General features: G+C 39.3%; 1 protein-coding gene across 14 annotated transcripts in view; it reads left to right on the top strand.

The window, feature by feature from the left end:
• The window catches only part of NCKAP5 (NCK associated protein 5), a 1,003,049-nt gene that overhangs the window by 113,417 nt on the left and 865,423 nt on the right, over positions 1-24,209 (top strand). For 9 of the 14 annotated variants that reach the window (XM_011511100.4, XM_047444133.1, XM_011511099.4 and 6 more), the window contains exon 2: positions 2,303-2,370. The exons of the other annotated variants lie outside the window; for them this stretch is intronic. The gene's annotated coding sequence lies outside the window, so the exon portion shown is untranslated. The remainder of the gene's footprint in view (positions 1-2,302; positions 2,371-24,209) is intronic. 14 annotated transcript variants of the gene reach the window in all.

Below are 24,209 nucleotides of genomic sequence, written 5' to 3'. Positions count from 1 at the left end.
AAATGACATTTATTTCTTTCCTTCCTGATTTTCTCCCCACTTATTCTTTGAGCCTTGAATTATAGAATCAGGAATGTGAGATACTTTGTTATTGAGAGTAGTTAAAACAGTTCACTTAAAATAATGTGAAACTTTGCCTTTGGAGACGGTGTTCATGCAGATTGCCAGTAGAGGGCCTTGTTAAACTAAGTAAAATTTCACATACAGGCCAATTGCCAACAGTTACAGCCACCCTGTTAAAGAAGCTCTTGTTTTTAGGATTCCTGATAAATAGCAGTAAAACTGTGAAAATGGTATTTTAAAGTGCATCTTATTTATTTCTATAAGGAAAAATTAGATATCTTAACTTTTCATTTTCATTGTTTTCTTAAGAGGAAATTGGAGAATTAGAATAGATCATTAATAAGCCATCAACCAAACCAGGGCTGTGGAGGCCTAGTCATAAAATCTCTCTAGGACATTTATTTTGGAGTTGGGGCCCTGGGATCTGAGCCTTTGGGGAACCCAGTATTGACTGTTGAACATGGCTGAGAGAGATGATGGCTCTCTTGACCTAGGCACAAGTTATACTTGCTGCCTACATTTCAGTGAGCCTTACTCTCAACAAAAGTGGGTTTTCTATTCTATGCAGCTGGACAAGAATCTTCTCACTCTATAGTAAGCCCTCACTTTGGACACAGCAAAGAGAAGCTAGACTCCGAGAGCTGAGAGCGTGTCATGTTCTCCATCACACCCACTTTCCAGTCAAGGAAACAGTGGTGGGGAGGAGCAGGGTAGTCCAGAGCTGTTCTCTTCCTACCTGCTGGCTTGTTTCCAGCTCCTCTTATTCACCCAAATCTCTCCTTCTGGGGAAGGTTCTCTTCTCCCCACTCTATCCTCCTGGGTACAACTTCTTCTCAGCCTAAAGAACACTTCCTGAGGAAGGCTTTCTTTACTTGTGATGTACTCTTGTAGCTCCATCTCTCTGTTTTTCATAGCACTTATCACCCGTATAATTAAATATATCATCAACTATTTGATTAAGAACATCTCCCCATCTAGGCTGTTATGTTTCACAAAAGCAGAGCCTGTGTCTGTTTTGTTTGAAATTGTAACCTTAGGACCTAGAACAGTGGCTGGCCCACAGTAGGCGTCCATCAAATATTTGGTGAATAGATGAATATACACAAGTTTTCTGATTTTTAAATTAGTACTTTCTCTTCTCCATTTTTATACTTACGAAAATATTCATGTTTATACCTCATCTGATGGCATTCAAATCTCATGCAGTCAAAATGCCTGTGGACTCGGGGCACAAAGCTTGGCATTGGGTTTTATACCTAACTTTCAATAAGTGTGTGAGTACCTCTTTATTCCCCATAGTACAAGAATCAGTATTCATGGCATTTGTCCAATGGGGGCTCTATAGGTATGAGAGCAAATGAATAAGAAAATGGGCAAGGATTTCTTTTATCTTCTTATTGATGAAGACAAGAGGAGTGGGAACAGATAGATGTCTTGAGCTTAGTAATGTGCCTTTTTGTTTCCTACTTTGGGCTAGAGATTTTCTAGAGCCCTGTATGCTGTGAAACATTCTTTTCCTGAGACATCATGGTACGTTAGACCAGGATTTGATCTTTGGAGTCAATTAATGCAGACAGTATAATGGAAGGCTTATAACTACAGCTCTTACCCATGTGGCATTTATCCTTGGATATCCCTGGGTTCTGATCTCTGTTCTGAACTCTACTGACTTTGGGCAAGTTATTTAACCTTGTCAGGCATGATTTCCCCATCCATAAAATGTAGTAATTTCAACAGTAGCTGGGTGAGGGGCTCACGCTTATAATCTCAGTGACTCAGGCTGATGTGGGAGGATCACTTGAGGCCAGGAGTTCAAGACCAGCCTGGCCAACATAACAAGACCCCATCTCTAAAAAAACAATTTTAAAAACTTACCTGGGCATGGTGATGTGCACCTGTAGTCTCAGCTACTCAGGAAGCTGAGATTGGAGGATAACTTGAACCCAAGAGTTCCAGGTTGCAGTAAGCCCTGATTGCACCACTGCACTCTAGGCTGTGAGATTCTTAAAAAATCAGCAGCGATTTTGCCCAGTATTTATTAAATGTGTATGATGTGTCTGACCCCATTGTGCTTTCTATTCATATTGTCTCATATAATCCTTAAAACAGACCACTGAGATAGACGTTATTATTAATCCCATTTTTAGATGCAAAAACCAAGGTACCAAGAGGTTAATATGTTCCAGATTACACAGTAATTATTTGAGCCACATATTTAGATTATATTACCTTCTTACAGGTTCATCGTGAAGAATAAATGAGATAAGCTACCTCAAGTGCCTGTACCAAAATAGACTCACAATACATGTAAGTAGTATTAATACGTTATTAATAATACTATTAATACATATTAATAATACTGTTCTCATTATTGGCTCTTATCATTGAGGACGACGTAGGCCCTTGTACTTCAGTGACTGTCTTAGGGCAATGAGAGAGGTGAGGACAGCACTGTGTGTCCCAGGTTTAGGAAGTTGTTTAATCCTAATGTCAAATGTCAACAGTTCCCTTTACTCAGTATTTTGGCACAAATGAGTATTTGCCACTCCAAAACAACTACAGAGAACAATGTGCACCCCCAATCCGCTTCTGGGTCATGAGTGCTTTTATTATGTTCCTGCCATATGGGCTTTTTTTTTTTTTTTTTTTTTTGCTCAGCACATTGCATCTGTTTATGTGATGCCCCTGGCTTTATCATCTCTGCATTTCGTTTGGCAAAATTGTCAAATCCTGTGGTCTTCTGTGTGTGTAGAACTGCTAATTTGAAGTAGAGTAGAAGCAGGTAACGGAGTCAGAAGGGTGTAGGGAGGATGTGACTCCTTCTATAGGGTCTTCATTCAATACCCTTTTTCTGTAGTCCTGGACCATCTTCCCTGGCTGCTCCCTTCCTCTTTCACATCTCTCTGTCTATGCCACCTTATTTCTCAATCTTCTGTCTTCGTTCTTCCCTCTACACCATTTGCATCTCACCTCTCCTATTTTCTCCTCCCTTTTGCTCTTATTCTCCCTCCTCATCTTCATTTATCTCTACTGCTCGTCCTCCTCCTCCTCTCCAGAGCAAAGAAGGGACCATGGTCAGTGTCTCTTAATGAACCAGAGACCAGAGAAAAAGACCACCTCTCCATAATCTTCAAATGCCCTAGGACTTTATTATAATGCTCATCTCATTAAACAAAGAACACATCCACATTACAGGCCAAACGAAAGGGAGACCAAAAGGAGCAAGCAGCATGGTAGAGTGGAGAGTAATCTGAACAGAGAGATTGAACAATTCTATTTGTAAAATCCTGCCATGAGCCAGCTAAAGGACATAGGATCAAGTGTTCCCATCTGCAAAGTGAAGGGGGAGAAGATGAGATGGTCTCAAGGCCGTTTCCAGTGCTGTGATCCTGTTATTCATAGTCACACAATGATTGCAGCCTGATTCACAACACAGGCAATTATCAAAGCACCAAGGAGGAAAGCCCCCACCTCAGGGCAGTGGGCTCAGGGCTGGGCTGCATGCAAGGGCAGCCTGGGGACCCTGGCAGTGTCTGTGATCCCAGTAGTCCCCTGTTTTCCCAAAGTGCCGAGGTGATTCGTCACTGCACAATGCTGTGTGTCCTCACAACAGATGTTAAAGGATCACCCTTGAAAGGGTGTTTCTCCAAAGCATCTAATTATAACCTCTACAGAAGATTAACAGATGTTATAATTGTCTTTCTCCTTTGATTAAATAGTTTCTGCATGAGTAGCTTTCTTAGATTTTCCCTCTATGTTTTGTATGATCTTATAAGGGACTGACATGTCTTCAATTTTGTAGAGATAGTTCCTCAACAGGCTTGGTAAGAATCTGCAGACTCATAATTTCATTATCTCTCTCTCTCTTTCGTTCATATGTCTTTTTATACATAGAAAACCTGGGCAGGCGAGGGCTGTGCTTGTGTAGTCTGAAGTATGGTTATAAAGGTGTCCTGGTGGCAGGAATATGAATGTGGCCAAGAAGCTGGCCTCTCTCTTTGCTATTTGTGGAGGTGACTGATGCTCATGAATGTTATCTAGGAAAAGTTGTGCCAAATGGGAAAGGAAATTTCAGCAAACTGTGTACCAACCAAGCATTCCAGGTGCCAAGCGTGCAAATGAGTGTGTGTGCAGAGAGAAAAACCGCATTCATGATGTGAATGTCTGCAGATTTCTCTTATGATATTTGTTTTGGAAAGACAAGCTATCGGCCAGGAGCATTATCAGCACCAAAAATATTATTTTCATTTCATTATTTAGAACCTAGAATTCTCTCCATTGCTAGGCATGTGGTTTGTATTCTGTTGCTCATTTATTTTACCCTCTATTGAGCTTATCAGGAAGGATGATACCACTAACTACAGGAATAAGAAGACTTCTTTCTCATTGTCTCATTGTCCAAATGAGTATGTTCCTTCTTGAGAAGAGAAAATTATAAGGAAGGGTTTCAGACATTGGAAGAATTTATGAATAATGAAGATGAGAGGAATGGAAATAAGAAATACTTACTCAGATCTTTTAGAGGGATCTGCTTAATAGTAGTCTCCATCTCTCCATACCCAAACGTCTGTCATAAATCAAGGCAAAGGTCACTCCTCAATCAGCCTGAGGGCAGAGAGCAAAATAAGCAAAATAAAACTTGGCTTCACTGAATACATTAGCATTAAACTTTCATTGAAATAAAAAAGAAAGATTCTTGAATTGGTTTATCAAATAGGTCCTATGTAAATTCAATCTCCACTTTCATCTGCACTTGCTAAGGAAGAGAAGGGAAGATGAGTATTTTCTTAGTGTACAATCTACACTGAATACACATGCTACTGGAAAATCAAAGGGGAAAACATTTATCTTTATGGGTTTCATAACATAGTGGGGAGAAGGAGTTAATCCCACGTGGGGCGTTTAAAGAATACTACACACCAATCAGTAGGATTAAGTTCCAAATGAATGATCAGAGGTTTGACAAATGAAAAGTTTTTATAAGTAGGTGGCTAGGATCGTGAACATTCTACAGTCCATATCATATTAGAAATGGCTAAATAAATTAGATTTATTTGGGACATTTGGAAGAGGAAAATGTTTAACCTTTTTTATTGAAGTATAAAATACATACAGATAATTGCACCTAAGTATAAAGCTTGATAAATTTTTATAAACTGAATATACCCATATCACTAATCCTCAAAACAAGAAATATTGCCAGCACCCTAGAAGCCTTCCTCAAATTCCCTTTCAGTCACATTCTCTAAGGTAACCACCATACTGACTTCCAGTGGCTTAGATTAATTTGGCCTTTTGTGTACTTTATCTAATTGGAATCATACGGTTTGTGTAATTTTGTGTCTGGCTTCTTTCCTTCAAATTATGTTTGTGTGATTCATCTGTATTGCTGTGTTTAATTATAACTTTATGCACATTGTTGTATAATATTCCATTGTGTGACTCTGCCACCATATAGTCTTCCTACTATGGATGGGCATTTGGATATTTTCCAATTTTGGACCATGACACATAGTTCTATTATGAATATGCTGGCACATGTCTCTCATGTCTCTTGGTAAACAAATATACACATATATGTTAAGAGTGCTTGTGTAATTGCTACACATAGCAATAATAGAGTATCTCAGATCTAATGCCCAACAGTCTTTCAAGGGGATTATACCAATTTATACTCCCAGGAACAATATATGAAAGGAAGTGTGGTATTTTAATTTACTCAAGAAAGCAGCACTATGACTAAGAATGGAAGTTAAAGAGAAGTTACTGTGGTCTAATATTAGGAAGAACTTTTGTTCATTTAGAAACAAGGTGAGAACTTATGAAAAAGATTCTTTTCCCTGGAAGTCCTCAGACAATGCTGGAATGGGCTTCATTGCAAAGGCAGGTGAGCTGGAGGATTCCAAGGCTTTTTTGATCTATAAGCCTTGTATATGCAATATAGTGAGCTCCAGGGAAATTTGAACACGAAAGAAAATGAAGAGGACATTGTGGTGGACCAGATAGTCAGATTGTAGAAGACCAGACTTAAGCCAGAGCAATTACACAGACAGTGCTGACTCTGTGAGTAGACGAGAGCCATTCAAGGAAGGGAGACAGTGGTGGAATTGAGTGAGGTCATAAAAAGAGATAATATGTTAGTCGGTGGAAGAAAGAACAGCATTTTGCATGCAAAAGCAGGTTCATTATAGAGTCCCAATGGAACACAGGGTGAAGCAGTTCATGCTACCGAATGCTTAGAACTAATTATGAGAATTGTAAAGCAAAGCAGAGATGTTTGATCAGCTCTGACAGAGATCAAGTGATGCCCTTAAGATGTCCCGGGGAAAAGTTGTTCCACAGGGAGGTGGCCAAATAACACCAAGACAACAAGAACACTTCCAAGGTTGCAGAAAGGGTAACCTTTCTGCAAGATTCTTTGGTAGCTATGCAGTGCTTCAACTTCTGCTCTCATCTCCTCCACACCTAGATACCTCTGACTTGTAACTTCAGTTCATGTGTGACTTCAGTTTCCCCCCTTGCCTTGGAACAACTCCTGGTATGTCTTCACAGCTGATTTCTTTTATAGGGACCCCAATCACCAGCCCATGGTACCTGATATTGACCAAGCACCCCAATGAACTTGGTTCTTGTCATTGCCAATTTCCCATTGTATCGGTAGGGTCAACATATCCCATACTTGGCAAAGAGTTATTTTGGATCAAATTCCATCTGACTTCATTTTGTATCTTTCACTTTATTTTGATGCTGTATTTCATGATTTCTAATAGACATGAGAAATATATTGTATAAGTCAGTACTAGGAACTGATCAGAGTACTAAGAAATCACTGGGTCATAACTCCTTTGTACTTCAACTGCTGGGAAGCTCAGAGCCAAATTGACATGTGTAATTACCAATGTTCTGTTGGTTCATATACCTTACCTTTGCAACATTTTTCTCTCATCTTTACTTTGTACTTTGTGGCAAAGCAGAATTTTAAGATGGAAACTAAGATCCAGGTCCCCATTGTACGATTCCCTCCCCAAGTGAGGACAGAACCTGAGAATATAACAGATAACACTTTTGTGATTAGACTGCATTATATGGCAATTGTGGAAGGACTTTTGTAGGTATAATTAAGGTCCCTAATCAGTTGACTTTGAGTGAATAAAAACAGGAGATTTTCTTGGGTGGGCCTGACCTCATCAGGCAAGCTCCTTAAAAGATTATCTACAGGTCAGAAACTAGAAGCCTCAGAGATTCTGCTGCTGGCCTCGAAGAAGCAAGTCATCATGAGCTTTACAGCCACAAGCAAGGAAATAAATTCTTCCTCAAACCACATGAGCTTGGGAGAGGACCCAGAGCCTCAGATGAGATCCCAGACACCTGAGGTCTGACACTTGACACATTGATTTTAGCCTTGTGAGAACTGAGTAGAGGTTCCAGCTAAGCTCTGCTCAGATTCCTGGTTCATAGACACTGTGAGATAATAAATGTGTATTATTCTAAGCCACTAAATTTGTGGTAACTTGTTACACAGCAATAGATAACAAATATATACATTCTTACCATCTCTATTTCTGTATATAACTCATTTATTATGTATATAGCCTCTTTAATTATTTTTGGGATTTGATCAAAATTGAGCGGGTTGAGCAATAAATTAGTGTCCTAAGTCCCCTTACTACTGCTCCAGGGTGACTAGGGATGATGCTGTCTCCTTCATGGCCTCAGGCTCCTTCCTGCTTCTGTGATTTGGCTCTAGCCCACACTTCTACTGGGAATGTCTTCTATCATCATCTCCACCTATTTAAACTCCATCTAACCTTAGAGGCCCTGCTTCAGATCCACAACCACCGTAATTCCTGGAATCTGATTTTTTGAGTTCTTTTTCAACCCCTATTTCCAAATCCCTGCAGTTGTGGTTCCCAAGTTTGGGCTGACGACATTAAAAATGCAGATTCCCAGCATTCCTTCCCTGCCTGCCTGCCCCAGGAATTCAGGTTCATTATGGAGTTTTTGGAAGCCTTTAATAAGTGACACTTCTGGACAGCTAGGTTTGGCAACTCATTGCTCTGCCATATTCATACCAGTTGGCTCTGCATAGAGCGCCCAGTGCGATTTACTGCCTGTGCTTAAGGATTTCAAAACTTATAGTCCACCTCTAGTCTGGACAGCATACTGTATATTCCTGTATTTATCTTGACCATAGTTTTATTATTTTCCCACTTATATCCTGCCCGTTTACTTTTTATTTATTTTATCATTTGGTTTTTGTGTGTATTTTTGTAAGTAATCACAAATCCTTTGGGGGAATGAGGTTGGAAATAAGTACATAAACAGAAAAAGAATGTACTCTAATATTTTAATGTGCATGAATCTTGTTTCCCTGACAACAGTAAAACTTTTTAAAACTTGGGCTCTGACTTCTACTTGCTTCATGCCCTCATCATACCTTGGACAATTTGAGCATATAGCAACAGTGTTCAGAAAACTAAAGATTGATGGTTGAACTGATAAGAAAGGGATTTGTTCTGTAAAAAGAGTGTTCGTTCATCTGCTTTCTTTCCCCCTCATGGCTTGCCCCACCCGCTTCTCAATCTTTTTTTTTTCTTTTTCTTTTTTTTTTATTATACTTTAAGTTTTAGGGTACATGTGCACATTGTGCAGGTTAGTTACATATGTATACATGTGCCATGCTGGTGCACTGCACCCACTAACTCGTCATCTAGCATTAGGTATATCTCCCAATGCTATCCATCCCCCCTCCCCCCACCCCACCACAGTCCGCAGAGTGTGATATTCCCCTTCCTGTGTCCATGTGATCTCATTGTTCAATTCCCACCTATGAGTGAGAATATGCGGTGTTTGGTTTTTTGTTCTTGCGATAGTTTACTGAGAATGATGATTTCCAATTTCATCCATGTCGCTACAAAGGACACGAACTCATCATTTTTTATGGCTGCATAGTATTCCATGGTGTATATGTGCCACATTTTCTTAATCCAGTCTATCATTGTTGGACATTTGGGTTGGTTCCAAGTCTTTGCTATTGTGAATAATGCCGCAATAAACATACGTGTGCATGTGTCTTTATAGCAGCATGATTTATAGTCATTTGGGTATATACCCAGTAATGGGATGGCTGGGTCAAATGGTATTTCTAGTTCTAGATCCCTGAGGAATCGCCACACTGACTTCCACAATGGTTGAACTAGTTTACAGTCCCACCAACAGTGTAAAAGTGTTCCTATTTCTCCACATCCTCTCCAGCACCTGTTGTTTCCTGACTTTTTAATGATCGCCATTCTAACTGGTGTGAGATGGTATCTCATTGTGGTTTTGATTTGCATTTCCCTGATGGCCAGTGATGATGAGCATTTTTTCATGTGTTTTTTGGCTGCATAAATGTCTTCTTTTGAGAAGTGTCTGTTCATGTCCTTCGCCCACTTTTTGATGGGGTTGTTTGTTTTTTTCTTGTAAATTTCTTTGAGTTCATTGTAGATTCTGGATATTAGCCCTTTGTCAGATGAGTAGGTTGCAAAAATTTTCTCCCATTTTGTAGGTTGCCTGTTCACTCTGATGGTAGTTTCTTTTGCTGTGCAGAAGCTCTTTAGTTTAATTAGATCCCATTTGTCAATTTTGTCTTTTGTTGCCATTGCTTTTGGTGTTTTAGACATGAAGTCCTTGCCCATGCCTATGTCCTGAATGGTAATGCCTAGGTTTTCTTCTAGGGTTTTTATGGTTTTAGGTCTAACGTTTAAATCTTTAATCCATCTTGAATTGATTTTTGTATAAGGTGTAAGGAAGGGATCCAGTTTCAGCTTTCTACATATGGCTAGCCAGTTTTCCCAGCACCATTTATTAAATAGGGAATCCTTTCCCCATTGCTTGTTTTTCTCAGGTTTGTCAAAGATCAGATAGTTGTAGATATGCGGCGTTATTTCTGAGGGCTCTGTTCTGTTCCATTGATCTATATCTCTGTTTTGGTACCAGTACCATGCTGTTTTGGTTACTGTAGCCTTGTAGTATAGTTTGAAGTCAGGTAGTGTGATGCCTCCAGCTTTGTTCTTTTGGCTTAGGAGTGACTTGGTGATGCGGGCTCTTTTTTGGTTCCATATGAACTTTAAAGTAGTTTTTTCCAATTCTGTGAAGAAAGTCATTGGTAGCTTGATGGGGATGGCATTGAATCTATAAATTACCTTGGGCAGTATGGCCATTTCATGATATTGATTCTTCCTACCCATGAGCATGGAATGTTCTTCCATTTGTTTGTATCCTCTTTTATTTCCTTGAGCAGTGGTTTGTAGTTCTCCTTGAAGAGGTCCTTCACATCCCTTGTAAGTTGGATTCCTAGGTATTTTATTATCTTTGAAGCAATTGTGAATGGGAATTCACTCATGATTTGGCTGTTTGTCTGTTGTTGGTGTATAAGAATGCTTGTGATTTTTGTACATTGATTTTGTATCCTGAGACTTTGCTGAAGTTGCTTATCAGCTTAAGGAGATTTTGGGCTGAGACAATGGGGTTTTCTAGATATACAATCATGTCGTCTGCAAACAGGGACAATTTGACTTCCTCTTTTCCTAATTGAATACCCTTTATTTCCTTCTCCTGCCTGATTGCCCTGGCCAGAACTTCCAACACTATGTTGAATAGGAGTGGTGAGAGAGGGCATCCCTGTCTTGTGCCAGTTTTCAAAGGGAATGCTTCCAGTTTTTGCCCATTCAGTATGATATTGGCTGTGGGTTTGTCATAGATAGCTCTTATTATTTTGAAATACGTCCCATCAATACCTAATTTATTGAGAGTTTTTAGCATGAAGGGTTGTTGAATTTTGTCAAAGGCTTTTTCTGCATCTATTGAGATAATCCTGTGGTTTTTGTCTTTGGCTCTGTTTATATGCTGGATTACATTTATTGATTTGCATATATTGAACCAGACTTGCATCCCAGGGTTGAAGCCCACTTGATCATGTTGGATAAGCTTTTTGATGTGCTGCTGGATTCGTTTTGCCAGTATTTTATTGAGGATTTTTGCATCAATGTTCATCAAGGATATTGGTCTAAAATTCTCTTTTTTTGTTGTGTCTCTGCCTGGCTTTGGTATCAGAATGATGCTGGCCTCATAAAATGAGTTAGGGAGGATTCCCTCTTTTTCTATTGATTGGAATAGTTTCAGAAGGAATGGTACCAGTTCCTCCTTGTACCTCTGGTAGAATTCAGCTGTGAATCCATCTGGTCCTGGACTCTTTTTGGTTGGTAAACTATTGATTATTGCCACAATTTCAGCTCCTGTTATTGGTCTATTCAGAGATTCAACTTCTTCCTGGTTTAGTCTTGGGAGAATGTATGTGTTGAGGAATTTATCCATTTCTTCTAGATTTTCTAGTTTATTTGCGTAGAGGTGTTTGTAGTATTCTCTGATGGTAGTTTGTATTTCTGTGGGATCGGTGGTGATATCCCCTTTATCATTTTTTATTGTGTCTATTTGATTCTTCTCTCTTTTTTTCTTTATTAGTCTTGCTAGTGGTCTATCAATTTTGTTGATCCTTTCAAAAAACCAGCTCCTGGATTCATTGATTTTTTGAAGGGTTTTTTTGTGTCTCTATTTCCTTCAGTTCTGCTCTGATTTTAGTTATTTCTTGCCTTCTGCTAGCTTTTGAATGTGTTTGCTCTTGCTTTTCTAGTTCTTTTAATTGTGATGTTAGGGTGTCAATTTTGGATCTTTCCTGCTTTCTCTTGTGGGCATTTAGTGCTATAAATTTCCCTCTACACACTGCTTTGAATGCGTCCCGGAGATTCTGGTATGTTGTGTCTTTGTTCTCATTGGTTTCAAAGAACATCTTTATTTCTGCCTTCATTTCATTATGTACCCAGTAGTCATTCAGGAGCAGGTTGTTCAGTTTCCATGTAGTTGAGCGGTTTTGAGTGAGATTCTTAATCCTGAGTTCTAGTTTGATTGCACTGTGGTCTGAGAGATAGTTTGTTATAATTTCTGTTCTTTTACATTTGCTGAGGAGAGCTTTACTTCCAACTATGTGGTCAATTTTGGAATAGGTGTGGTGTGGTGCTGAAAAAAAATGTATAGTCTGCCATTATTAATGTGTGGGAGTCTAAGTCTCTTTGTAGGTCACTCAGGACTTGCTTTATGAACCTGGGTGCTCCTGTATTGGGTGCATATATATTTAGGATAGTTAGCTCTTCTTGTTGAATTGATCCCTTTACCATTATGTAATGGCCTTCTTTGTCTCTTTTGATCTTTGTTGGTTTAAAGTCTGTTTTATCAGAGACTAGGATTGCAACCCCTGCCTTTTTTTGTTTTCCATTTGCTTGGTAGATCTTCCTCCATCCTTTTATTTTGAGCCTATGTGTGTCTCTGCATGTGAGATGGGTTTCCTGAATACAGCACACTGATGGGTCTTGACTCTTGATCCAATTTGCCCGTCTGTGTCTTTTAATTGGAGCATTTAGTCCATTTACATTTAAAGTTAATATTGTTATGTGTGAATTTGATCCTGTCATTATGATGTTAGCTGGTGATTTTGCTCGTTAGTTGATGTAGTTTCTTCCTAGTCTCGATGGTCTTTACGTTTTGGCATGATTTTGCAGCGGCTGGTACCGGTTTTTCCTTTCCATGTTTAGCGCTTCCTTCAGGAGCTCTTTTAGGGCAGGCCTAGTGGTGACAAAATCTCTCAGCATTTGCTTGTCTGTGAAGTATTTTATTTCTCCTTCACTTATGAAGCTTAGTTTGGCTGGATATGAAATTCTGGGTTGAAAATTCTTGTCTTTAAGAATGTTGAATATTGGCCCCCACTCTGTTCTGGCTTGTAGGGTTTCTGCCGAGAGATCCGCTGTTAGTCTGATGGGCTTCCCTTTGAGGGTAACCCGACCTTTCTCTCTGGCTGCCCTTAACATTTTTTCCTTCATTTCAACTTTGGTGAATCTGACAATTATGTGTCTTGGAGTTGCTCTTCTCGAGGAGTATCTTTGTGGCATTCTCTGTATTTCCTGAATCTGAACATTGGCCTGCCTTGCTAGATTGGGGAAGTTCTGCTGGATAATATCCTGCAGAGTGTTTTCCAACTTGGTTCCATTCTCCCCATCACTTTCAGGTACACCAATCAGATGTAGATTTGGTCTTTTCACATAGTCCCATATTTCTTGGAGGTTTTGCTCATTTCTTTTTATTCTTTTTTCTCTAACCTTCCCTTCTCGCTTCATTTCATTCATTTCATCTTCCATTGCTGATACCCTTTCTTCCAGTTGATCGCATTGGCTCCTGAGGCTTCTGCATTCTTCACGTAGTTCTCAAGCCTTGGTTTTCACCTCCATCAGCTCCTTTAAGCACTTCTCTGTATTGGTTATTCTAGTCATACATTCTTCTAAATTTTTTTCAAAGTTTTCAACTTCTTTGCCTTTGGTTTGAATGTCCTCCCGTAGCTCAGAGTAATTTGATCGTCTGAAGCCTTCTTCTCTCAGCTCGTCAAAGTCATTCTCCATCCAGCTTTGTTCCGTTGCTGGTGAGGAACTGCGTTCCTTTGGAGGAGGAGAGGCGCTCTGCGTTTTAGAGTTTCCAGTTTTTCTGTTCTGCTTTTTCCCCATCTTTGTGGTTTTATCTACTTTTGGTCTTTGATGATGGTGATGTACAGATGGGTTTTCGATGTGGATGTCCTTTCTGTTTGTTAGTTTTCCTTCTAACAGACAGGAACCTCAGCTGTAGGTCTGTTGGAATACCCTGCCGTGTGAGGTGTCAGTGTGCCCCTGCTGGGGGGTGCCTCCCAGTTAGGCTGCTCGGGGGTCAGGGGTCAGGGACCCACTTGAGGAGGCAGTCTGCCGGTTCTCAGATCTCCAGCTGCATGCTGGGAGAACCACTGCTCTCTTCAAAGCTGTCAGACAGGGACACTTAAGTCTGCAGAGGTTACTGCTGTCTTTTTGTTTGTCTGTGCCCTGCCCCCAGAGGTGGAGCCTACAGAGGCAGGCAGGCCTCCTTGAGCTGTGGTGGGCTCCACCCAGTTCGAGCTTCCTGGCTGCTTTGTTTACCTAATCAAGGCTGGGCAATGGCGGGTGCCCCTCCCCCAGCCTCTCTGCCGCCTTGCAGTTTGATCTCAGACTGCTGTGCTAGCAGTCAGCGAGACTCCGTGGGCGTAGGACCCTCCGAGCCAGGTGTGTGATATAATCTCGTGGCGCGCCGTTTTTTAAGCCGGTCCGAATAGCGCAATATTCGGGTGGGAGTGACCCAATTTTCCAGGTGCGTCCGTCACCCCTTTCTTTGCCTTGGAAAGGGAACTCCGTGACCCCTTGCACTTCCCAAGTGAGGCAATGCCTCGCCCTGCTTCAGCTCGCGCACGGTGCGCGCACCCACTGGCCTGCGCCCACTGTCTGGCACTCCCTAGTGAGATAAACCCGGTACCTCAGATGGAAATGCAGAAATCACCCGTCTTCTGTGTTGCTCACGCTGGGAGCTGTAGACCGTAGCTGTTCCTATTCGGCCATCTTGGCTCCTCCCCTTTCTCAATCTTTTGAAGCATTGGACAAAGAATTGCTCTTTTTCCTAGACCCAAGCATTCCAGGTTAGCAGAATGCCTAGATAGGGTTGTAGAATTAATGGGAGGGCTCATTATGTCTCTCAGAGTTTTCATATGCCTGAAATGGTTTTACACCAAGTGTTTTTTTTGTTGTTGTTTTGTTTTTTTGTTTTGTTTTGTTTTGTTTTTGCCTGCTGGTGCTGGGAACAGGCATATTCTAGGCACAGGGTGGGGGCATCCCTCAATCATTGAGCACTGCCCTCTGCTCTTCCAAAGCCCCACTGAATGAGCCACATTCAGGATAACCGTGCCCTTATGTCAAAGCACACATCGCGTGATATCCCTTGAAACTCTATAGCGCAGCTTGTATATCTGGTAAGTGGAGTATACATGAGCAGGACGGCAGGTTTATCACACAGAGCTGAAGAATGCTCCAGGGAAGTTCCACAGAGGCAGTCATTGTGGAAAATCTGATAAATTGTACTCTTCTAAATACTCCTTTTAAGCCCTTTCTACCGTTTTGAAAATACATAATCTCTTGGGCAATAATGAGTTTCCTGACTCTTTCTCTTTCTCCTGTCCTTTCTGCAAATCTGTTCACTCAGATACTCCTCAGTGGGGGCACTTTTTCACCTTTGGCTTCCTCTTGGATGTACTTCACTGTATCTGAAGATCTGAGCTCAGCCAGTTGGGCATGGTTAAGATGTGTTCTGAGTCTGTGTGTTTGTGTGTGCGTACACATGCAAGGCGGGGGTGTGGGGGGTGTGTGTGTGCATATGAGCAATGCATTTGTGTTTCAGCATTTCTGGTTTTGCCCTTTCAGTTAGACAAAACCAGACTATTATTTTGTTCCGGCTCAGATTTCCAAATTAAACTAATCGAATCTAGTACCATAACAAACCAAAATAATTTCAGGGCATTTTTAGCAAACGGTATCAATCTTCTACAAAAACAACAGTATTTTCCTGATGAAGAGGTTTGTGTATCATTTTCTCCAATGTCATTGGGATTATGCTTAAGCCATTATGTATCTTTTATCATTGTAAAAGATAAGCGTTTGGACTGTCGAATCCTGCCTCTCCCCTCCTCCCTTCTATGCTATCTTCTTGTAAGGTACGAAATTCTCACACATAACTTCAAAATGTTTCAATTTTGTTTCTTAGGCCAGGTAGATACATAGTTAGTGAGTGCCAATGAAAGCATTATAACAAGGTAGATTGTTAGATCTAGTAGTGGGTGCTAGGTGCGGTAACCACTGAGGTAGATTCGACTTGGAGCCTGCCCTTGTGGGATGGCAGAGCCCACAGGCAGATAGGCAGCCTATCAAACTCTGTATCATGATGCTGATCAATGGAAACAAATATGCATATTTTTAGAGGTCATACCTGTCTTTCAGTTTCCGTCATCTCCTTCACTCTCTGCCTTGGACAGCAGCTTCCTAAATCTGCGCAAACTATTGGCAGAGGGAAGTAGAGGACCAAACGCGTCAGCCAGCTTCCGCTAGCTAGGTGCACCTTGTGAATTTGGTCACCCAACTTGGCTGTTTCTGCATCTCCTGCCACACTGACTTCAAGCAGAACTAGGCAGGCAATCTTGCCAAGAATAGCATGAGCAAAAAGTTTAATATTCTAAAAGAGATAATGAAGAAAAATAGATGAAGAAAAAACTGATTGTAGCTTGAGATTGTCCACACTAGCTGCCTCTGTTATTTGGTTCTACATCTCTTTCCTTTTGAGTGTCCCTCCCAGTGCCTGATCAGGACTTTGTATAAGCCCTCGTTTTGTAGGGACCCAGGGGAGTTCTGTCTTCCTGCCTGCCTTAAACAGACTTTCAAAACTATGGAGAACTACCCTTAAGATGAGGCTGTGAATAATATGGGGTCATGGGAGTTCTGGGTTAATGATATTGATCAGAGTGGCTTGCAAATGAATTATTCTATAGGCAGGAGAGACTTTGAGATGTGAATTTGATTCTGAAGGCTGATAGTTACATTTCTGGGAAGTTGTGGGCATCATTCTCTGCCTTTCTGAACTGAAAGTATAAGTAATCATTGGGATAGAACAGGAAGGAGACAGTGATTTAGATTAATAGAAATTTGGTTGTATTTGAAAGGAAAGGGCACCTTTAGCTATTTATCCTAGAAAACAGTTCATCCATTTGTGTGAAGAGACATGCACAAGAATGCACACTGCAGTAGCATCTGTAATAGTGATAAGTTATTTGTCAGTGAAGTGCCCATCAACAGGGAAGGAAAAAATCAAACAAATAATACTCCATTCACACGATGGAGCCCGAGTCATCATTAAAGAATTGAAGAAGAGCTATTGGTATCTTGACATGGAAAGACCTCTGTGACATATTATTAAGTGGGGAAAAAATCAAATTGTCAAGAAATATGTATAATAGGGTATCATTTATGTTTATTAAAAAGCTTACATATTAAATAAGTACATGTATTTTCCATGTAGGTTTCTACATAATTTTAACTTTTTACTTTAAGAAGATATTCATGATTACTTTTTAAAAAGAATGATATATTGTGTGTGTTTGTGTATACACGTGTATATTTGTATATATTTTAATAATAGAATATTCTGAAGGAATGTTTCATGGAATAATGAAAAAGAGATTTATTTTTTTCCAAATAAGTAACCTGAGGTAACCAAAGGTAATATAAAAGAGGAATGAAATCTCAGTTTTTCTCTGGGTGCATCAGTTTCCAGACATGGCAATTTTAATTCAAGATACAAATCAACGCTGTTAAGATACAAATCATCAGCTATTTCTAAGTAGTCATGAAGCAGCATAAGTTATTTGCAAAGAAATCCATTGCTCAGTAGTTTAACTTCATTTCAAACAAGATAAGCTTGTTCTAGATATTCAGTACTGGGATAGAGATAACCAGATAAATGAGCTGTGGCTTCTGTTCTTGAGGGGAACCAATCTAGTGGGAAAGACAGACAAGCAAACACCTACCACTTGCTTGTGAGTCCACACTGTAATACTCCAAGACTGAATGAAGTACCCCAGAAGGGGAACAAGTTGTAGACACACAAAGGAAGAAATAAGTATTGATTGTTTTTAGGGAAATAAAGATACAGTTTTCATAAGGAGCATGTGAGGCTGATTTTCTAGACCCCAAATTTGGTAGATTTTGTAGGTCTTTTGGTAGACCTTCATTTCCCACAGGGGAAATAAAGATGGAGAAAGCCAAAGGCCTGGGGCCACAATGCTAGTCAATAGACTAGAGGTTTTGGTGCTGATGAAAATTTCATTTTTGAAACTTAGGAGTGATAATATCAGACTGAAATAATACTATTGGATGTGAAGCTTCCAGTGACCTACAAAAAGAGACAATTTTATCTGGTTACTTTGAATAGCTAACATTTCTCGTACACTTACTTGGTACTGTGCTGAGTACCTTGTATTAGTCCATTTTGCATTGCTATAAAGGAATACCAGAGGCTGGGTAATTTATAAAGAGAAGAAGTTTAATTGGGTCACAGTTCTGCTGGTTGTACAAGCATGGTGCCAGCATCTGCTTGGCTTCTGGTGAGACCTCAGGAGCTTACAATCATGGTGGAAGACAAAGGGGGAGCCGGTATATCACATGGCGAGAGAGTGAACAAGAGAGAGAGGGAGGAGGCCCCAGGTCTTTTAAACAACCAGATCTCATGTTAACTCATAGAATCAGAACTCACACATTACTGCAAGGACAGTACCAAGCCATTTATGAGTGATCCACACTTTTGACCCAAATACCTCCCACTAGGTCCCCCCTCCAACATTGGAGGTCACATTTCAACATGAGATTTGGAGGGGACAAAACATTTAAACCATATCATACTTCATATAAATGATCTCATTTAATACTTATAACAATCTACAAGGTAAATAGTATTATGATCCTACCTATGGTATACATAGTGTTGTTATTTCCATTTTATAAATAAGAAAAGTAGAGACCAGAGAAGCTAACTTAAGTGATTTTATATCACCACCTTAAAACTCCTGATTTTATCCATATGCCAATACTGCACCAGAAGTAGAAGACCTTCAGATTTTATCGTGAAGGGAGTATCAGAAGTATAGTCTGCAGAGTTTAAGAATTTCCAGGAGATGACAAGAACGTAATACATAGCTATTCAGATGGACCCCTCAAATGGTGATGGGATGAAGATCACAGTGTAAAAGATGTCAAGGTAGTCTGTGCAAACACTGGAGCCACTGCTGGTTATGTGAGCAGGGAGGAAAGGAGAACTGCGATTTCACTGGCACTGTGAAATATGGCGGCATGTTCTGAGGTTTGCTACTTGAAGGCTAAGGAAGGTTTAAAACTGGATAGCGTGGGATGACAGGGTAGTGGTGGAGGACATTAGCAATCTCTCCCCGTTTACCTGAAGCAAATGATCGTGGATTTTCCCAAAGTTAAGCTACTATAATTTGGAAACCACCTACATGTCCAATAAGGAGTAGCTAAAACACATTATAGGATTATAGGACATCCAATTAATGAGATACTGGGCAGTCCTCAAATATGGTACTGTGGAAGAATACTTAATGACATTAAATTATACTTAGTACGTAGCTGTAGGTGGAGAATTATGGAGTATGCATTCCCATTTTTGTAACTGTATTGTCATAGACATTCGTCATGTTCGTGACTGCTTGTGATCTCATGAACAGCTTTTCTATGTTTAGGGACATCCCCATGATATAACCATCTCCTCCCCAACATTGAAACCAGAACTCAAATTTTCAGCCTCACAACTGGGATGCAGGCATATGATCTCAGCTCCACCAACCAGATGTACCATGTGAGAGAATTCAGTCCTGAAGTGAGTCAAGTGTGCAAACAATCCCGTGCAAACCCTTCCATTTTATTGAACAGGTGGGGACATTTTATTGAGGGAGTTCATGGGAGAAACTGTTTTGGAGGCAGCAGCAGTAGCAGCTTCCTCCTCAGCCTAGTTTTGCAAAGTGGTTTGGGGCATTGTTTATGGCGACTTAGTCCTCAGCCTAGCTCCCAGCCCTCTCTATTTTGTGAAAGATCTGACACTTAAAAAAAAAAATCTCCTTTATAAACTTCTTAGTCAATATCATGTAGTTACAGCCCAATGTTAACACTAATTTTTTTGTTTTACTCTTTTTCTTATTTTTTTTTTGGCAAACATTTATTCAACAAAAAATTATTAACTGTCTACCATTGCTGAGAACTCAGCCAAGTCCTAAAGGAGCAAAGATGCTTATGATGCTTTCTTTGCCTCCAGTCCACATATTATGTATACAGTCAGGAATGTTTCTTTAAATAATCTTGGCAATGATTTTTCTAAAGGCTGTATGAGCATATAATGAGTTTGAAGGATCGTGATGTAATTACCATATATTGCATAAAATGTATTTAAATTATTGTAGCCATCTTTGATTTAATTTTATTACTAAATTAGGCTATTTTCTCTGTGAATGTTGCTCTCATGTTTTGTTCTCATTTATGTAGTTCCCAACTTTAGTTGAATCCTTTTACTTTTCTCTTTTCCATTTAAAATATTGTGATTTTAAATTTATCATATTATATTTTTCAATTAAAAGTTTTAACAAAGTAGGAAAGACAATGAGACAAAAATTCATGAAGTTACCTTCAAAAGGATTTAATTTTTTATGTTTTTTATTTCTACCCCTCTGCTTGGATTTGATTTGATAATTTTGTTATTTGTTTAGTGGTTACCTTATAATTTGTGACATGCATATTAATTTTAATGTCTATATATATAAAATACTTATATATTTATAACAAAGAATAAGATTTATTTAGTATCTTTATACCCTTTAAAAATAACACTAAGACCTTATCGTGTTTCCCTTACCCATTGAAACCCACTGTGATTTTTTTTCTTTCTTTTTTTTTTTTTTTTTTGAGACAGAGTCTTGTGCTGTCACCCAGGCTGGAGTGCAGTAGCCAATCTCGGCTTGCTGCACCTCCACCTCCTGGGTTTAAGAGATTTTCATGCCTCAGCCTCCCGAGTAGCTGGAATTACAGGTGCATGCCACCACGCCTGGCTAATTTTTGTGTTTTTAGCAGTGATGGGGTTTCACCATGTTGGCTAGGCTGGACTTGAACTCACAACCTCAGGTGATCCACCTGCCTCAGCCTCCCAAAGTGCTGGCATTATAGGTATGAGCCACTGTGCCTGGCCTTCAATTGCTATTTTTAATGGCAATAGATAATTAGATTTATAAACATGTTTGATCCATGTCTTTGCTTACTGCAATCTCCTATATTCTACTCCTTCTCTCTCATTTTTTGCTAAAGTATATCCTTCATTATTTTAGTGAGTGTCTGGGGAAGGTAAAAACGTGTGTTTTTAGTAAGTCTAAAAAGTTTTTATTTTTCCCTCATTCTTGGATTATGTTTTAGCTCAATTTGAAATTCTAAGTTCACAGTTATTTGCTGTAAACACTTTGATTACATCATTGTCTTGTGTTCATTCATTAATTTTTGCTAACTAGAAATATCCTGGCAGTCTAGCTCTCTAATAGGATTTCATTTTATGTCATTTAAAAAACATCTCTCATATGTGTTAGGATTTTGTCTTTCACTTGAGGTTTTTATGGTTTTAATAGTATACATGTTGATATGCATAGCATTTTTCTTTTTCTTTTTTCTTTTTAGATGGAGTTTCACTCTGTCACCCAGGCTGGAGTGCAGTGGTGTGATCTCGGCTCACTGCAAGCTCTGCCTCCCGGGTTCAAGCAATTCCCCTACCGCAGCCTCCTGAGTAGCTGGGACTGTCAGGGACGTGCTACCACGCCCAGCTAACTTTATGTATTTTTAGTAGAGATGGGGTTTCACTGTGTTAGCCAGGATGGTCTCGATCTCCTGACCTCATGATCTGCCTGCCTCGGCCTTCCAAAGTGCTGGGATTACAGGCGTGAGCCACCGCGCCCAGCCTGTATAGTATTTTTCACATGTTCTTCTGTTTTGAAAATTTCTCAGCCCTTATCTCTTAGGATATTTGTTCTATGTTATTCTATTTTCTCTTTTCAGAATTCCTTGGATACATTTTGGAGACTTTGAATGGATATTTTTTCTCTTCAACTTTTCTCTCTGTGCTTTATTCTAGGTGGATTCATCAGCATAAGTTTTTAATTCATTAATTATCCCTTTGATTGTCTTTTCTAGATTTTGTCTTATTGGCATTTCATTTTAGACCGTAGTTTTTTTCTGTAGATTTATAGTAGATCTTCTTCCTATACATTTGTTTTTGTTTCTTATTTGCCTGTTCTTGTATCATATTTCTCATCCTTTTTATGATTGGTATTCTATTTTATGTTTTGGTTTTTATTTCTTTTTACTGTCAGTTTTAGCTTTTCATTGTTTTCGTTTGTTTGATGTTGAATTATCTGTATTTTTTATTTTGCTTGTCTTCTTAGTTTTGTGTGCTTTAAACTGTCAATTTCATCTTGAATTGGAGCTTCCTCTCATCTCTGTGCACACTTCTCCTCACCTAGAGGATTTATGGATGCCTCTGGGAAGCTTACCAGACACCCCAACTAGAACTAGGTTTTATGAGTTACTTGAGGCATCTATTCTATAATATAAAACTGGGGGGCCAGGCATGGAGGCTCACGCCTGTAATTCCAGCACTTTGGGAGGCCGAGGCAGGTGGATCATGAGGTCAGGAGACCGAGACCATCCTAGCTAACAAGGTGAAACCCCGTCTCTACTAAAAATACAAAAAATTAGCCGGGCGTGGTGGCTGGCGCCTGTAGTCCCAGCTACTTGGGAGGCTGAGGCAGGAGAATGGCGTGAACCCGGGAGGCGGAGCTTGCAGTGAGTCGAGATCGCGCCACTGCACTCCAGCCTGGGCGACAGAGTGAGACTCCGTCTCAAAAAAAAAAAAAAAAAAAAAAAAAAACCCAAAAAAACCACAAAAAAAAACCAAAAAAAAACTAGGTACATCTCAGATGAAGCTGAGCTATCAAGTGACTTGGTTCAAGACCTATCTTTCAGACTGTCTTTCCTTCTACTATGCAGATCAACATCCTATGTAAGCTGTGACCCCAGGCAGTAATTAGTTTTCACAATCCTTCTTCAAGATTGAGGGACCCTTTTCCCAGACTATGTTTTCATGAAGTAAGCTGGCTGGCCTTTGTCTCCCAACATTTATGGAAAGCTTTTGGTGCCTGATGTATACTTGATGTCAAACTCTTTCCCATTTTTGTGTCCCTCTGGACACAGAAGTCAGTAGGTCCAAGACTTCGGTGTCCTTTTCCTTCTCTGAGCTCAGTTTTTTTTTTGTTCACAGAAATGTTTATTTGTTCATATATGCCAGGGAATTTACCTACAAAAGTTGCATATCTAACTCAACTATTATTTTATGGAAGATTTTTACTTTGAGGTCCATTTCTTCCATGGCTTGGCTTTAGAATAATCAAGAATCCTTCAAATTAGGCTAAAAAAATCTCTGCAAATTAAATGTATTTTAATTTCCCCTGATTCTCAAAGTTTTTAAGAGCCACTCACCTAATTTGACTTCTTTAGTTTGAATTCATATTATATTTCTAAGGAAAAGACAAAGTAACCACAATTTCTTTTATTTCTCTTCTGAGACAAATAATTATATTTTATACCTTCAACAATGTTAGCATAATTTTAAAAGGCAATAGTAGAGTAGTGCCTTCAAAAGGGTTTGCATGGAGTCCCCTTAAAGTAAAATTAAAATGTGGCTTTATGGTGCAATGGTTTGTTCGTTTTGGCAGTCAATGGAAATTATTCCTTTAATGGAATGAAATGCAAATATTAAGCAACAAGCTTGAAATGATGAGGGTATTTATGTTTTGGTCTCTTAATAACTGTGTTTTTCTGAGGTTATAGGAGTTAAATGCAGTTTGCTTGTTGATGGAGTTGCATGCATTGTCAGCAAATGTGGGCAGCTAAGATATTGTTAGTTTTGTACATTTAGGAAGTGTTTAATGAGTGCTGGTGAAAGATGATGGAAGTCTTATAATTTATTCTAAGTGATTTAATTGAGGAGGCTAAGCATCTCAATTTGTTTAATTCAGATATACTGTATACAACCCTATGAGTCTTTTCATGACTTAATAAAAAGATTTAAAAATAAAACTAGAAAATATATTACAGCTAAAATAAAAATGCATCTTTTAAAGCAAAGAACAAAAAAGTTAGAATGAATGAAGGAAATACGAACTAGTTTTTCAATTTGAAGCTAAAAGGAGATACAATGCAATAAACAATCCAAACTGTAATTAAGAAAGTACTCCCACTTATGATAGAACAAAAAGAATAAAACATCTAGGAATAAATTTAGAAAATGAAGTACAAGAGTTGTACACTAAAACTTATAAAACATTGTTGAAAGAAATTAAGACTTGAATAAATGGAAAGACATCAAATTTTCATGGACCAGAAGACTGAGCATTGTTAAGATGGCACTACTCCCCAGATTGATCTACAAACTCAATGCAATCTCCCAGTTGGATTTTTTTGCAGACATTTATAAGTTGATCTCAAAATTCATATGAATTTCCATATGGAAATGCAAGATATCAAAAACAGCCAAATCATCTTGAAAATAAAGAATGAAGTTGGAAGATTCACACCTCCAATTTCAAACCT

This window comes from Homo sapiens, chromosome 2, assembly GCF_000001405.40.
Source record: "Homo sapiens chromosome 2, GRCh38.p14 Primary Assembly".
Taxonomy (NCBI): domain Eukaryota; kingdom Metazoa; phylum Chordata; class Mammalia; order Primates; family Hominidae; genus Homo; species Homo sapiens.
Note: the sequence above shows the minus strand (reverse complement) of the source record. Positions and strands in the feature narration are given on the sequence as shown.